The following is a 17,134-nucleotide window of genomic DNA, read 5'->3' as shown; positions in this document are numbered from 1 at the left end:
GAGAAGCCAGGTGGTGTATTCTTAAACAAACTGGGAAAAAGAATGAAGACAAAGCTGGAATGTGTTCTCTGTCAGACTTTTTCTTCCTGGGGCTTTCTTCATCTATAAAATGAAAATTCTAACATTTGCCTCATGGGACTTTTGTTCGAAGAGTTAAATGAGATAATGTATGTAAAGTGTAGTCTCTGGCTGGTGTCTAAATGACTGGAAATGTGTGGGGGTGATTGTTATTGTGTAACAATTTGAGCCATAGTGATTTAGGAATAGAAAATTGATGGAATGGAAGATGCAGATCAGAAACACATTTTTAAACTTAAAATAATTTAATATATGCATAAATTAAATACCACAAATCAGTAGGGGTGGGGCAGGGAGTGAAATACTCAATACATAGTGTTGAGGTAATTGATTATTCATTGGAAAAATCCCTCTTGGATACATATATTTATAAAATGTATCAAAAGAAAGGCTAGATTAATATTCCAGGCATACAAGAAAAGGAAGAAGGCACAAAGAAATATCAACAGATTTGACTGCATAAACATTTTTTAAAATTTATGGAAAAGTTAACCAAGTTAAAAGGCAAAAAACAGACTTGGAGAAATATTTGCAGAAAATATGAAAAGGTTAATATTTTTACCATGTAAAGATCTAAGAAATGCATATGAAAACACTGAGATACTGGTGAATACATAAGCCAAGAACATAAAGGCAATTTACAAACAGACAAATGAAAACATATTTAACAGATAAGAGATAATGGCTTCACTCATAAGCAGAAAAGGCAAAGTAAAGTTATACTTTTGCCTCTCAAATTAGCAATGAATAAAACTAGTTAGTACTTGTGATGTTACAGTGAAATGGACACAGTGATTTCTAATGGAGACAAACTGTCACCTTCCTGTTGAAGAGTTTAGCAATATGTATAAGAACCCTAAAATATTCATCTCATATTAAAATATTCACTTCACAATAGTTAAAAAACTTACTACATATTTAGAATTAGACTTATTAAAAAGGCAGAAACTCTAATTTTTAAAAGCCTATGACACTCTTCTCTAGAAATAACACTTGAATAAATGGATAGATGATTGTATGCCTCTATATGGAAAGATCTAATATTGTAAGGCTGTCAATTCTTCTGAAATCAATCTATAAATTTAACCCAGTTCTGCTTAAAATCCCAATGGTAGAAAAACTCAATCAGCAAAAATAATTCTATAGTCAACCTGGAAGAGAAAACATGTGAGAGCAGTCAAAAACATTTGGGAGGAAAGAGAGTAATGACGGAAATTTCCAGAATGAGGCATGAATATGTATTGTAAATCTACAGTGATGGAATATTATTCAGCCATATAGAAGAACGAAATTCTGTCATTTGCAGCAACATGATGGAACTGGGGGTCATTATGTTAGGTGAAATTAGCCAAGCAAAGAAAGACAAATGTTGCATGTTCTCACTCATATGTGGAAGCTAATAATAGTGTTTTTCATGACGATAGTAGAATAGTGGTTACCAGAGGCCAGGAATGGTAGGTGGAAGGCAGGGGATGAAGAGAAAACAAAAGAATATAAATGTTACCACTGAATTGTACACTTAAAAATAGTAAAGATGGTATTTCTGCTTCTAGATCTCTGAGGAATCGCCATACTGTCTTCCACAGTAGTTGAACTAATTTACACTCCCACTAACAATGTAAAAGCGCTCCTTTTTCTCTGCAACCTCGCCAGCATCTGTTGTTTCTTGACTTTTTAGTAATTGCCATTCTGACTGGTGTGAGATGATATCTTAATTGTGGTTTTGATTTACATTTCTCTAATGATCAGTGATGTTGAGCTTTTTTTCATATGTTTTTGGCGGCATGAATGTCTTCTTTTGAGAAGTGTCTGTTCATGTCCTTTGCCCACTTTTTGATGGGGTTGGTTGTTTTTTTCTTGTAAATTTGTTTAAGTTCCTTGTAGACTCTGGATATTAGACCTTTTTCAGATGGATAGACTGGAAAATTTTTCTCCCATTCTGTAGGTTGTCTGTTCACTCTGATGATAGTTTATCTTGCTGTGCAGAAGCTCTTTAGTTTAATTGCCTCCCTTTTGTCAATTTTTTCTTTTGTTGCAATTGCTTTTGGCATTTTTGTCATAAAATCTTTTATTGGGGGAACATGCCCCCAATATTTCAATGCAGGTTCTTTCTATTTTCCCTAAGTGTTGGCCAGTCTGAGAAATAAAGAGAAAGAGTACAAAGAGAGGAATTTTACAGCTGGGCCTCCGAGGGTGACATCACATATTGGCAGGTCCGTGATGTCCACCTGAGCTGCAAAACCAGCAAGTTTTTATTAAGGATTTCAAAAGGGGAGGGGATGTACGAACAGGGAGTAGGTCACAAAGATCACATGTTTCTGAGGCCAATAAAGATCACAAGGCAAAGGGCAAAGCAAAGATCACAAGGCAAAGGCAAAATTAGAATTACTGATGAGGGTCTATGTTCAGCTGTGCACATATTGTTTTGATAAACACCTTAACAGAAAACAGGGTTTGAGAGCAGAGAACTGGTCTGACCAAAATTTACCAGGCTGGAATTTCCCAATCCTAGTAAGCCTGAGGTAGTACTACAGGAGACCAGGGCGTATTTCAGTCCTTATCTCAACTGCATAAGACAGATGCTCCCAGAGCGGCAATTTATAGACCTCCACCCAGGAATGCAATTATTTTGCTAGGGTCTTAATATTTAATATTCCTTGCTAGGAGAAGAATTTAGCAATATCTCTCCTACTTGCACGTCCATTTATAGGCTCTCTGCAAGAAGAAAAATATGGCTCTATTCTGCCCAATCCTGCAGGCAGTCAGATCTTATGGTTGTCTTCCCTTGTTCCTTAAAATCGCTGTTATTCTGTTCTTTTCAAGGTGCACTCATTTCATATTGTTCAAACACACGTTTTACAATCAGTTTGTACAATAGTGGTCCTGAGGTGACGTACATTCTCTGCTTACAAAGATAACAGAGTTAAGAGATTAAAGACAGGCATAAGAAATTATAAGAGTATTATTTGGGAACTGATAAATGTCCATGAAATCTTCACAATTTATGTTCGGAGATTGCAGTAAAGACAGGCATAAGAGGGGAGGAGCCAAGATGGCCGAATAGGAACAGCTCTGGTCTACAGCTCCCAGCGTGAGCGACGCAGAAGACGGGTGATTTCTGCATTTCCATCTGAGGTACCAGGTTCATCTCACTAGGGAGTGCCAGACAGTGGGCGCAGGTCAGTGGGTGTGCACACCGTGCGCCAGCTGAAGCAGGGCGAGGCATTGCCTCACTTGGGAAGTGCAAGGGGTCAGGGAGTTCCCTTTCTGAGTCAAAGAAAGGGGTGACGGACGCACCTGGAAAATCAGGTCACTCCCACCCGAATATTGCGCTTTTCGGACTGCAGCACACCATGAGATTATATCCTGCACCTGGCTCGGAGGGTCCTACGCCCACGGAGTCTCGCTGATTGCTAGCACAGCAGTCTGAGATCAAACTGCAAGGCGGCAGCGAGGCTGGGGGAGGGGCGCCCGCCATTGCCCAGGCTTGCTTAGGTAAACAAAGCAGCCGCGAAGCTCGAACTGGGTGGAGCCCACCACAGCTCAAGGAGGCCTGCCTGCCTCTGTAGGCTCCACCTCTGGGGGCAGGGCACAGACAAAAAGTCAGCAGTAACCTCTGCAGACTTAAATGTCCCTGTCTGACAGCTTTGAAGAGAGCTGTGGTTCTCCCAGCACACAGCTGGAGATCTGAGAATGGGCAGACTGCCTCCTCAAGTGGGTCCCTGACCCCTGACCCCCGAGCAGCCTAACTGGGAGGCACCCCCCAGCAGGGGCACACTGACATCTCACACGGCAGGGTATTCCAACAGACCTGCAGCTGAGGGTCCTGTCTGTTAGAAGGAAAACTAACAAACAGAAAGGACATCCACACCAAAAACCCATCTGTACATCACCATCATCAAAGACAAAAAGTAGATAAAACCACAAAGATGGGGAAAAAACAGAACAGAAAAACTGGAAACTCTAAAATGCAGAGCGCCTCTCCTCCTCCAAAGGAATGCAGTTCCTCACCAGCAATGGAACAAAGCTGGATGGAGAATGACTTTGACGAGCTGAGAGAAGAAGGCTTCAGACTATCAAATTACTCTGAGCTACGGGAGGACATTCAAACCAAAGGCAAAGAAGTTGAAAACTTTGAAAGAAATTTAGAAGAATGTATAAGTAGAATAACCAATACAGAGAAGTGCTTAAAGGAGCTGATGGAGCTGAAAACCAAGGCTCGAGAACTACGTGAAGAATGCAGAAGCCTCAGGAGCCGATGCGATCAACTGGAAGAAAGGGTATCAGCGATGGAAGATGAAATGAATGAAATGAAGTGAGAAGGGAAGTTTAGAGAAAAAAGAATAAAAAGAAATGAGCAAAGCCTCCAAGAAATATGGGACTATGTGAAAAGACCAAATCTACGTCGGATTGGTGTACCTGAAAGTGATGGGGAGAATGGAACCAAGTTGGAAAACACTCTGCAGGATGTTATCCAGGAGAACTTCCCCAATCTAGCAAGGCAGGCCAACGTTCAGATTCAGGAAATACAGAGAACGCCACAAAGTTACTCCTTGAGAAGAGCAACTCCAAGACACATAATTGTCAGATTCACCGAAGTTGAACAATGAAGGAAAAAATGTTAAGGGCAGCCAGAGAGAAAGGTCGGGTTACCCTCAAAGGGAAGCCCATCAGACTAACAGCTGATCTCTCGGCAGAAACCCTACAAGCCAGAAGAGAGTGGGGGCCAATAGTCAACATTCTTAAAGAAAAGAATTTTCAACCCAGAATTTCATATCCAGCCAAACTAAGCTTCATAAGTGAAGGAGAAATAAAATCCTTTACAGACAAGCAAATGCTGAGAGATTTTGTCACCACCAGGCCTGCCCTAAAAGAGCTCCTGAAGGAAGTGCTAAACATGGAAAGGAACAACCGGTACCAGCTGCTGCAAAATCATGCCAAAATTTAAAGACCATCGAGAATAGGAAGAAACTGCATCAACTAACAAGCAAAATCACCAGCTAACATCATAATGACAGGATCAAATTCACACATAACAATATTAACTGTAAATGTAAATGGACTAAATGCTCCAATTAAAAGACACAGACTGGCAAATTGGATAAAGAGTCAAGACCCATCAGTGTGCTGTATTCAGGAAACCCATCTCACGTGTAGAGACACACATAGGCTCAAAATAAAAGGATGGAGAAAGATCTACCAAGCAAATGGAAAACAAAAAAAAGGCAGGGGTTGCAATCCTAGTCTCTGATAAATCAGACTTTAAACCAACAAAATCAAAAGAGACAAAGAAGGCCATTACATAATGGTAAAGGGATCAATTCAACAAGAAGAGCTAACTATCCTAAATATATATGTACCCAATACAGGAGCACCCAGATTCATAAAGCAAGTCCTGAGTGACCTACAAAGAGACTTAGACTCCCACACTTTAATAATGGGAGACTTTAACACCCCATTGTCAACATTAGACAGATCAACGAGACAGAAAGTCAACAAGGATACCCAGGAATTGAACTCAGCTCTGCACCAAGCCAACCTAATAGACATCTACAGAACTCTCCACCCCAAATCAACAGAATATACATTTTTTTCAGCACCACACCACACCTATTCCAAAATTGACCACATACTTGGAAGTAAAGCTCTCCTCAGCAAATGTAAAAGAACAGAGATTATAACAAACTATCTCTCAGACAACAGTGCAATCAAGCTAGAACTCAGGATTAAGAATCTCACTCAAAACCGCTCAACTACATGGAAACTGAACAACCTGCTCCTGAATGACTACTGGATACATAACGAAATGAAGGCAGAAATAAAGATGTTCTTTGAAACCAACGAGAACAAAGACACAACATACCAGAATCTCTGGGACACATTCAAAGCAGTGTGTAGAGGGAAATTTATAGCACTAAATGCCCACAAGAGAAAGCAGGAAAGATCCAAAATTGACACCCTAACATCACAATTAAAAGAACTAGAAAAGCAAGAGCAAACACATTCAAAAGCTAGCAGAAGGCAAGAAATAACTAAAATCAGAGCAGAACTGAAGGAAATAGAGACACAAAAAACCCTTCAAAAAATTAACGAATCCAGGAGCTGGTTTTTTGAAAGGATCAACAAAATTGATAGACCGCTAGCAAGACTAATAAAGAAAAAAAGAGAGAAGAATCAAATAGACGCAATAAAAAATGATAAAGGGGATATCACCACCGATCCCACAGAAATACAAACTACCATCAGAGAATAGTACAAACACCTCTACACAAATAAACTAGAAAATCTAGAAGAAATGGATAAATTCCTCGACACATACACTCTCCCAAGACTAAACCAGGAAGAAGTTGAATCTCTGAATAGACCAATAACGGGAGCTGAAATTGTGGCAATAATCAATAGTTTACCAACCAAAAAGAGTCCAGGACCAGATGGATTCACAGCCAAATTCTACCAGAGGTACAAGGAGGAACAGGTACCATTCCTTCTGAAACTATTCCAATCAACAGAAAAAGAGGGAATCCTCCCTAACTCATTTTATGAGGCCAGCATCATTCTGATACCAAAGCCGGGCAGAGTCACAACCAAAAAAGAGAATTTTAGACCAATATCCTTGATGAACATTGATGCAAAAATCCTCAATAAAATACTGGCAAACTGAATCCAGCAGCACATCAAAAAGCATATCCACCATGATCAAGTGGGCTTCATCCCTGGGATGCAAGGCTGGTTCAATATACGCAAATCAATAAATGTAATCCAGCATATAAACAGAGCCAAAGACAAAAACCACATGATTATCTCAATAGATGCAGAAAAGGCCTTTGACAAAATTCAACAACACTTCATGCTAAAAACTCTCAATAAATTAGGTATTGATGGGACGTATTTTCGCAAATCAATAAATGTAATCCAGCATATAAACAGAGCCGAAGACAAAAACCACATGATTATCTCAATAGATGCAGAAAAGGCCTTTGACAAAATTCAACAACCCTTCATGCTAAAAACTCTCAATAAATTAGGTATTGATGGGACGTATTTCAAAATAATAAGAGCTATCTATGACAAACCCACAGCCAATATCATACTGAATGGACAAAAACTGGAAGCATTCCCTTTGAAAACTGGCACAAGGCAGGGATGCCCTCTCTCACCACTCCTATTCAACATAGTGTTGGAAGTTCTGGCCAGGGCAATTAGGCAGGAGAAGGAAATAAAGGGTATTCAATTAGGAAAAGAGGAAGTCAAATTGTCCCTGTTTGCAGACAACATCATTGTATATCTAGAAAACCCCATTGTGTCAGCCCAAAATCTCCTTAAGCTGATAAGCAACTTCAGCAAAGTCTCAGGATACAAAATCAATGTACAAAAATCACAAGCATTCTTATACACCAACAACAGACAAACAGAGAGCCAAATCATGAGTGAACTCCCATTCACAATTGCTTCAAAGAGAATAAAATACCTAGGAATCCAACTTACAAGGGATGTGAAGGACCTCTTCAAGGAGAACTACAAACCACTGCTCAAGGAAATAAAAGAGGATACAAACAAATGGAAGAACATTCCATGCTCATGGGTAGGAAGAATCAATATCGTGAAAATGGCCATACTGCGCAAGGTAATTTACAGATTCAATGCCATCCCCATCAAGCTACCAATGACTTTCTTCACAGAATTGGAAAAAACTACTTTAAAGTTCATATGGAACCAAAAAAGAGCCCCCATCGCCAAGGCAATCCTAAGCCAAAAGAACAAAGCTGGAGGCATCACACTACCTGACTTCAAACTATACTACAAGGCTACAGTAACCAAAACAGCATGGTACTGGTACCAAAACAGAGATATAGGTCAATGGAACAGAACAGAGCCCTCAGAAATAACACCGCATGTCTACAGCTATCTGATCTTTGACAAACCTGAGAAAACCAAGCAATGGGGAAAGGATTCCCTATTTAATAAATGGTGCTGGGAAAACTGGCTAGCCATATGTAGAAAGCTGAAACTGGATCCCTTCCTTACACCTTATACAAAAATCAATTCAAGATGGATTAAAGACTTAAACGTTAGACCTAAAACCATAAAAACCGTAGAAGAAAACCTAGGCATTACCATTCAGGACATAGGCATGGGCAAGGACTTCATGTCTAAAACACCAAAAGCAATGGCAACAAAAGACAAAATTGACAAATGGGATCTAATTAAACTAAAGAGCTTCTGCACAGCAAAAGAAACTACCATCAGAGTGAACAGGCAACCTACGGAATGGGAGAAAACTTTTGCAACCTACTCATCTGACAAAGGGCTAATATCCAGAATCTACAATGAACTCAAACTAATTTACAAGAAAAAAACAAACAACCCCATCAAAAAGTGGGCGAAGGACATGAACAGACACTTCTCAAAAGAAGACATTTATGCAGCCAAAAAACACATGAAAAAATGCTCATCATCACTGGCCATCAGAGAAATGCAAATCAAAACCACAATGAGATACCATCTCACACCAGTTAGAATGGCGATCATTAAAAAGTCAGGAAACAACAGGTGCTGGAGAGGATGTGGAGAAATAGGAACACTTTTACACTGTTGGTGGGACTGTAAACTAGTTCAACCATTGTGGAAGTCAGTGTCGCGATTCCTCAAGGATCTAGAACTAGAAATACCATTTGACCCAGCCATCCCATGACTGGGTATATATACCCAAAGGATTATAAATCATGCTGCTATAAAGACACATGCACACGTATGTTTATTGCGGCATTATTCACAATAGCAAAGACTTGGAACCAACCCAAATGTCCAACAATGATAGACTGGATTAAGAAAATGTGGCACATATACACCATGGAATACTATGCAGCCATAAAAAATGATGAGTTCATGTCCTTTGTAGGGACATGGATGAAGTTGGAAATCATCATTCTCAGTAAACTATCGCAAGAACAAAAAACCAAACACTGCATATTCTCACTCATAGGTGGGAATTGAACAATGAGATCACATGGACACAGGAAGGGGAATATCACACTGTGGGGACTGTGGTGGAGTGGGGGGAGGGGGGAGGGATAGCATTGGGAGATATACCTAATACTAGATGACGAGTTAGTGGGTGCAGCACACCAGCATGGCACATGTATACATATGTAACTGACCTGCACAATGTGCATATGTACCCTAAAACTTAAAGTATAATAAAAAAAAGAAGAAAAAAAAAAGACAGGCATAAGAAATTATAAAAGTATTAATTTCGGGAACTGATAAATGTCCATATTAAAATGAAATCTCCACAATTTATGTTCCTCTGCTGCAGCTCCAGCCGGTCCCTCCATTTGGGGTCCCTGACTTCCCGCAACAATCTTTGCCGATGCCTATGTTCTGAATGGTATTGCCTAGATTTTCTTCTATGGTTTTTATAGTTTGGGGTTTTACATTTGACCCAGCAATCCCATTACTGGGTATAAACCCAAATGAATAGAAATCATTCTATTATAAAGATACATGCACACATATGTTCATTGCAGCACTATTCATAATAGCAAAGACATGGAATCAACCCAGATGCCCATCAATGATAGACTGGATAAAGAAAATGTGGTACATATACACCATGATATACTATGCAGCCATAGAAATGAATGAGATCCTGTCCTTTGCAGGAACATGGATGGAGCTGGAAGCCATTATCCTTAGCAAACTAATGCGGGCACAGAAAACCAAACACCTCATGTTCTCACTTATAAGCGGGAGATGAACTATGAGAGCACATGGACACATTCGGGGAAACAACACACACCAGAACCTTCAGGGGGAGTAGGGGAAGGGAGAGCATCAGGAAGAACAGCTAATGGATGCTGGGCTTAATACCTAGGTGATGGGTTGATCTGTGCAGCAACCCACCATGGCACACATCTACCTATGTAATAAACCTGCACATCCTGCACGTATACCCTGGAACTTAAAGTGAAAGTTGAAGAGAGAAAAAGTAGTAAAGATGGTAAATTTTACATGTATATCTTACCTCAATTTTTACACTTGATCTTAACCAAAAGGCTGAGATGTGATACCTTAATTTTTAAAAAGAGGCTTGATCAGAAAAAATAAATAAAGCTACAGTTATTGAAACATTGTGGTATACTAACACGGACTGCTGTAACAGAATATAAAGTTCAGAAGAAAATACAAGTGTGTGTATATATATCTATATACATTTAAAATTTGATAAAAAGAGATACTTAAAACATTTAGAACAGGCAGGGTGGGGTGGCTCACTCCTGTAATCCCAGCACTTTGGGAGGCCAAGGTGGGTGGATCACCTGAGGTCAGGAGTTTGAGACCAGCCTGGCCAACCTGGTGAAACCGCATCTCTACTAAAAGTATAAAAATTAGCCAGGTGTGATGGTATGCACCTGTAATCCCAGCTACTCAGGAGGCTGAGGCAGGAGAATTGCTTGAACCTGGGAGGTGGAGGTTGCAGTGAGTTGAGATTGCACCACTGCACTCCCAGTCTGGGCGACAGAGCGAGACCCTGTCTCAAAAAAAAAAAAAAAAAAAAAAATTGGAAGGATCTTTGAACACAAGCTGTAGAGTTAAAATAAAGTTGTACCCCTTTATCACAACATTTACTAAAATGAATTTTGAATATGAAAGTATAAAACATAAGATATAAAAAACAAAATCATAAAAATAGTAAAAAAAATAGATGACAATATGAACTTGAGATGGGGAAATAGTTTCAAGCATAACAGCAAAGACAGAAGTCATAAAGTAAAATGTGCATATGCTTGACTGTGTAAAAGTCTGTATGTCAAAAACATCATTAGCATGAGTAGGACAGATTTAATAAGGAAAATATTTGCAGCATCTATGACAAATACTTAATACATGCATTCACATAAGAAGAAAATCTCAGCTTGAGATCTGAGAACGGGCAGACTGCCTCCTCAAGTGGGTCTCTGACCCCCAAGTAGCCTAACTGGGAGGCACCCCCGAGTAGGGGCGGACTGACACCTCACACGGCCGGGTACTCCTCTGAGACAAAACTTCCAAAGGAACGATCAGGCAGCAGCATTTGCGGTTCACCAAATCTGCTGTTCTGCAGCCACCACTGCTGATACCCAGGCAAACAGGGTCTGGAGTGGACCTCTAGCAAACTCCAACAGACCTGCAGCTGATGGTCCTGTCTGTTAGAAGGAAAACTAACAAACAGGAAGGACATCCGCACCAAAAACCCATCTGTATGTCACCATCATCAAAGACCAAAGGTAGATTAAACCACAAAGATGGGGAGAAAACAGAGCAGAAAAACTGGAGACTCTAAAAATCAGAGTGCCTCTCCTCCTCCAAAGGAATGCAGTTCCTCACCAGCAATGGAACAAAGCTGGACGGAGAATGACTTTGATGAGTTGAGAAAAGAAGGCTTCAGACGATCAAATTACTCCAAGCTACAGGAGGAAGTTCGAACCAATGGCAAAGAAGTTAAAAACTGTGAAAAAAAATCAAGACGAATGGATAACTAGAACAACCAATGCAGAGAAGTCCTTAAAAGACCTGATGGAGCTGAAAACCAAGGCACGAGAACTACGTGACGAATGCAGAAGCCTCAGTAGCCGATGCGATCAACTGGAAGAAAGGGTATCAGTGATGGAAGATGAAATGAATGAAAGGAAGGGAGAAGAGAAGTTTAGAGAAAAAAGAACAAAAAGAAATGAACAAAGCCTCCAAGAAATATGGGACTACGTGAAAAGACCAAATCTATGTCTGATTGGTGTACCTGAAAATGACGGGGAGAATGGAACCAAGTTGGAAAACACTGTGCAGGATATTATCCAGGAGAACTTCCCCCATCTAGCAAGGCAGGCCGACATTCAAATTCAGGAAATACAGAGAACACCACAAAGATACTCCTCGAGAAGAGCAACTCCAAAACACATAATTGTCAGATTCACCAAAGTTGAAATGAAGGAAAAAATGTTAAGGGCAGCCAGAGAGAAAGGTCGGGTTACCCACAAAGGGAAGCCCATCAGACTAACAGCTGATCTCTCAGCAGAAACTCTACAAGCCAGAAGAGAGTGGGGGCAAATATTCAACATTCTTAAGGAAAAGAATTTTCAACCCAGAATTTCATATCCAGCCAAACTAAGCTTCATAAGTGAAGGAGAAATAAAACCCTTTACAGACAAGCAAATGCTGAGAGATTTTGTCACCACCAGGCCTGCACTAAAAGAGCTCCTGAAGGAAGTGCTAAACATGGAAAGGAACAACCGGTACCAGCCACTGCAAAAACGTGCCAAATTATAAAGACCATCGAGGTTAGGAAGAAACTGCATCAAGTAATGGGCAAAATAGCCAGCTGACATCATAATGACAAGATCAAATTCACACGTAACGATATTAACTTTGAATATAAATAGACTAAATGCTCCAATTAAAAGACACAGACTGGCAAATTGGATAAAGAGTCAAGACCCATTAGTGTGCTGAACCCATCTCACGTGCAGAGACACACATAAGCTCAAAATAAAGGGATGGAGGAAGATCTACCAAGCAAATGGAAAACAGAAAAAGGCAGGGGTTGCAATTCTAGTCTCTGATAAAACAGACTTTAAACCAACAAAGATCAAAAGAGACAAGGCCATTACTTAACGGTAAAGGGATCAATTCAACAAGAAGAGCTAACTATCCTAAATATATATGCACCCAATACAGGAGCACCCAAATTCATAAAGCAAGTCCTTAGTGACCTACAAAGAGACTTAGACTCCCACACAATAATAATGGGAGACTTTAACACCCCACTGTCAACATTAGACAGATCAACGAGACAAAGTTAACAAGGATGTCCAGGAATTGAACTCAGCTCTGCACCAAACGGACCTAATAGACATCTACAGAACTCTCCACCCCAAATCAACAGAATATACAGTCTTTTCAGAAACACACCACACCTATTCGAAAATTGACCACATAGTTGGAAGTAAAGCACTCCTCAGCAAATGTAAAAGAACAGAAATTATAACAAACTGTCTCTCAGACCACAGTGCAATCAAACTAGAACTCAGAATTAAGAAACTCACTCAAAACCACTCAACCATATGGAAACTGAACAACCTGCTCCTGAATGACTACTGGGTACATAACGAAATGAAGGCAGAAATAAAGATGTTCTTTGAAACCAATGGGATCAAACACACAACATACCAGAATCTCTGGGACACATTCAAAGCAGTGTGTAAAGGGAAGTTTATAGCACTAAATGCCCACAAGAGAAAGCAGGAAAGATCTAAAATTGATGCCCTAACATCACAATTAAAAGAACTAGAGAAGCAAGAGCAAACACGTTCAAAAGCTAGTAGAAGGCAAGAAATAACTAAAATCAGAGCAGAACTGAAGGAAATAGAGACACAAAAAACCCTTCAAAAAATTAATGAATCCAGGAGTGGTTTTTTGAAAAGATCAACAAAATTGATAGACTGCTACCAAGACTAATAAAGAAGAAAAGAGAGAAGAATCAGATAGATGAATAAAAATGAAAAAGGGGATATATCACCACCGATCCCACAGAAATACAAACTACCATCAGAGAATACTATAAACACCTCTACGCAAATAAACTAGAAAATCTAGAAGAAATGGATAAATTTCTCGACACGTACATCCTCCCAAGACTAAACCAGGAAGAAGTTGAATAGACCAATAACAGGCTCTGAAATTGTGGCAATAATCAATAGCTTACCAACCAAAAAAAGTCCAGGACCAGATGGATTCACAGCTGAATTCTACCAGAGGTACAAGGAGGAGCTGGTACCATTCCTTCTGAAACTATTCCAATCAAAAGAAAAAGAGGGAATCCACCCTAATTCATTTGATGAGGCCAGCATCATCCTGATACCAAAGGCTGGCAGAGACACAACCACAAAAGATAATTTTAGACCAATATCCTTGATGAACATTGATGCAAAAATCCTCAATAAAATACTGGCAAACCAAATCCAGCAGCACATCAAAAAGCTTATCCACCATGATCAAGTGGGCTTCATCCCTGGGATGCAAGGCTGGTTCAACATATGCCAATCAATAAATGTAATCCAGCATATAAACAGAACCAAAGACAAAAACCACGTGATTATCTCAATAGATGCAGAAAAGGCCTTTGACAAAATTCAACAACGCTTCATGCTAAAAACTCTCAATAAATTAGGTATTGATAGGATGTATCTCAAAATAATAAGAGCTATCTATGACAAACCCACAGCCAATATCATACTGAATGGGCAAAAACTGGAAGCATTCCCTTTGAAAACTGGCACAAGACAGGGATGCCCTCTCTCACCACTCCTATTCAACATAGTGTTGGAAGTTCTGGCCAGGGCAATCAGGCAGGAGAAAGAAATAAAGCATATTCAATTAGGAAAAAAGGAAGTCATATTGTCCCTGTTTGCAGATGACATGATTGTATATCTAGAAAACTCCATTGTCTCAGCCCAAAATCTCCTTAAGCTGATAAGCAACTTCAGCAAAGTCTCAGGATACAAAATCAATGTACAAAAATCACACCCATTCTTACACACCAACAACAGACAAACAGAGAGCCAAATCATGAGTGAACTCCCATTCACAATTGCTTCAAAGAGAATAAAATACCTAGGAATCCAACTTACAAAGGATGTGAAGGACCTCTTCAAGGAGAACTACAAACCACTGCTCAATGAAATAAAAGAGGATACAAAGAAATGGAAACACATTCCATGCTCATGGGTAGGAAGAATCAATATCGTGAAAATGGCCATACTGCCCAAGGTAATTTATAGATTCAATGCCATCCCCATCAAGCTACCAATGACTTTCTTCACAGAATTGGAAAAAACTACTTTAAAGTTCATATGGAACCAAAAAAGAGCCCGCACCGCCAAGTCAATCCTAAGCCAAAAGAACAAAGCTGGAGGCATCACACTACCTGACTTCCAACTATACTGCAAGGCTACAGTAACCAAAACAGCATGGTACTAGTACCAAAACAGAGATATAGACCAATGGAACAGAACAGAGCCCTCAGAAATAATGCCGCCTATCTACAGCTACCTGATCTTTGACAAACCTGAGAAAACCAAGCAATGGGGAAAGGATTCCCTATTTAATAAATGGTGCTGGGAAAACTGGCTAGCCATATGTAGAAAGCTGAAACTGGATCCCTTCCTTACACCTTATACAAAAATTAATTTAAGATGGCTTAAAGACTTACATGTTAGACCTAAAACCATAAAAACCCTAGAAGAAAACCTATGCAATACCATTCAGGACATAGGCATGGGCAAGGACTTCATGTCTAAAACACCAAAAGCAATGGCAACAAAAGACAAAATTGACAAATGGGATCTAATTAAACTAAAGAGCTTCTGCACAGCAAAAGAAACTACCATCAGAGTGAACAGGCAACCTACGGAATGGGAGAAAACTTTTGCAACCTACTCATCTGACAAAGGGCTAATATCCAGAATCTACAATGAACTCAAACTAATTTACAAGAAAAAAACAAACAACCCCATCAAAAAGTGGGCGAAGGACATGAACAGACACTTCTCAAAAGAAGACATTTATGCAGCCAAAAAACACATGAAAAAATGCTCATCATCACTGGCCATCAGAGAAATGCAAATCAAAACCACAGTGAGATACCATCTCACACCAGTTAGAATGGCGATCATTAAAAAGTCAGGAAACAACAGGTGCTGGAGAGGATGTGGAGAAATAGGAACACTTTTACACTGTTGGTGGGACTGTAAACTAGTTCAACCATTGTGGAAGTCAGTGTGGCGATTCCTCAAGGATCTAGAACTAGAAATACCATTTGACCCAGCCATCCCATGACTGGGTATATATACCCAAAGGATTATAAATCATGCTGCTATAAAGACACATGCACACGTATGTTTATTGCAGCACTATTCACAATAGCAAAGACTTGGAACCAACCCAGATGTCCAACAACAATAGACTGGATTAAGAAAATGTGGCACATATACACCATGAAATACTATGCAGCCATAAAAAATGATGAGTTCATGTCCTTTGTAGGGACATGGATGAAACTGGAAACCATCATTCTCAGCAAACTAACACATGAACAGAAAACCGAACACCTCATGTTCTCACTCATAAGTGGGAGTTCAACAGTGAGAACACATGGACCCGGAAGGGGAACATCACATACTGGGGACTGTTGTGGGGTGGTGGGATGGGGGAAGGATAGCATTAGGAGATATACCTAATGCTAAATGACGAGTTAATGGGTGCAGCACACCAACATGGCGCATGTATACATATGTAACAAACCTGCATGTTGTGCACATGTACCCTAAAACTTAAAGTATAATAATAAAATTTAAAAAAATGAATAAAAAATAAAAATAATATAAATTTTAAAAAGCAGCAGCAGCAAGAGAGATATATGTGGCCCCCAATGCCTAAAATATTTACTGCCTAGTCCTTTACAAATAAATCTGCTAATCCCTCAGACTCAATAACCCAACAATATGGAATACACTGAAGTTAGTGTATATTCATATAGATTGTCCTTGCATACAGTAGAATCATAATGTTTGCTAAATAAATGAATTAATTAGTGGAGGGACACTGTTTTTTCAATGATAGTAAAGGCTATGGACTACTTATCATTTATTCACCAGTGTACACCATGATTTGGTGTGTATGTAGCAGGTAAAAGCAATGGAGGTTTAAGACATACTTGAAAATGGAGGGAGTTGTTTTGTTTACATTTAAAGCTATAGAATAGGGTTTATTTAAAAAAAATGCAAAGTAAAACTACAATAGGAAATAGAGATTCACTGATCACATTGTAAGGATGTTTAAAAATGGCAATACTTAGGGTTGGTTAGGGTTAGGAAAGTGGCCCTCTCGCACTGAATTGGTGGTACAATCTGTCTAGTTGATAGTTTGTCAATATTCATAAAAGTGTTGAAAATATACACATACATGTGGCCCATTTAGGGAAATAGCTGTGGAAAAAACACATCAAATTATGGTTCTTAATAGT

At 39.5% G+C, this 17,134-nt stretch overlaps 1 protein-coding gene across 2 annotated transcripts in view; it reads left to right on the top strand.

The window, feature by feature from the left end:
• The window catches only part of OR3A2 (olfactory receptor family 3 subfamily A member 2), a 110,196-nt gene that overhangs the window by 50,466 nt on the left and 42,596 nt on the right, over positions 1-17,134 (top strand). The gene's annotated exons all lie outside the window — the stretch shown is intronic.

This window comes from Homo sapiens, chromosome 17 (genome assembly GCF_000001405.40).
Source record: "Homo sapiens chromosome 17, GRCh38.p14 Primary Assembly".
NCBI classification, from domain to species: Eukaryota; Metazoa; Chordata; class Mammalia; order Primates; family Hominidae; genus Homo; species Homo sapiens.
This window is presented reverse-complemented; position numbering and strand designations above follow the sequence as displayed.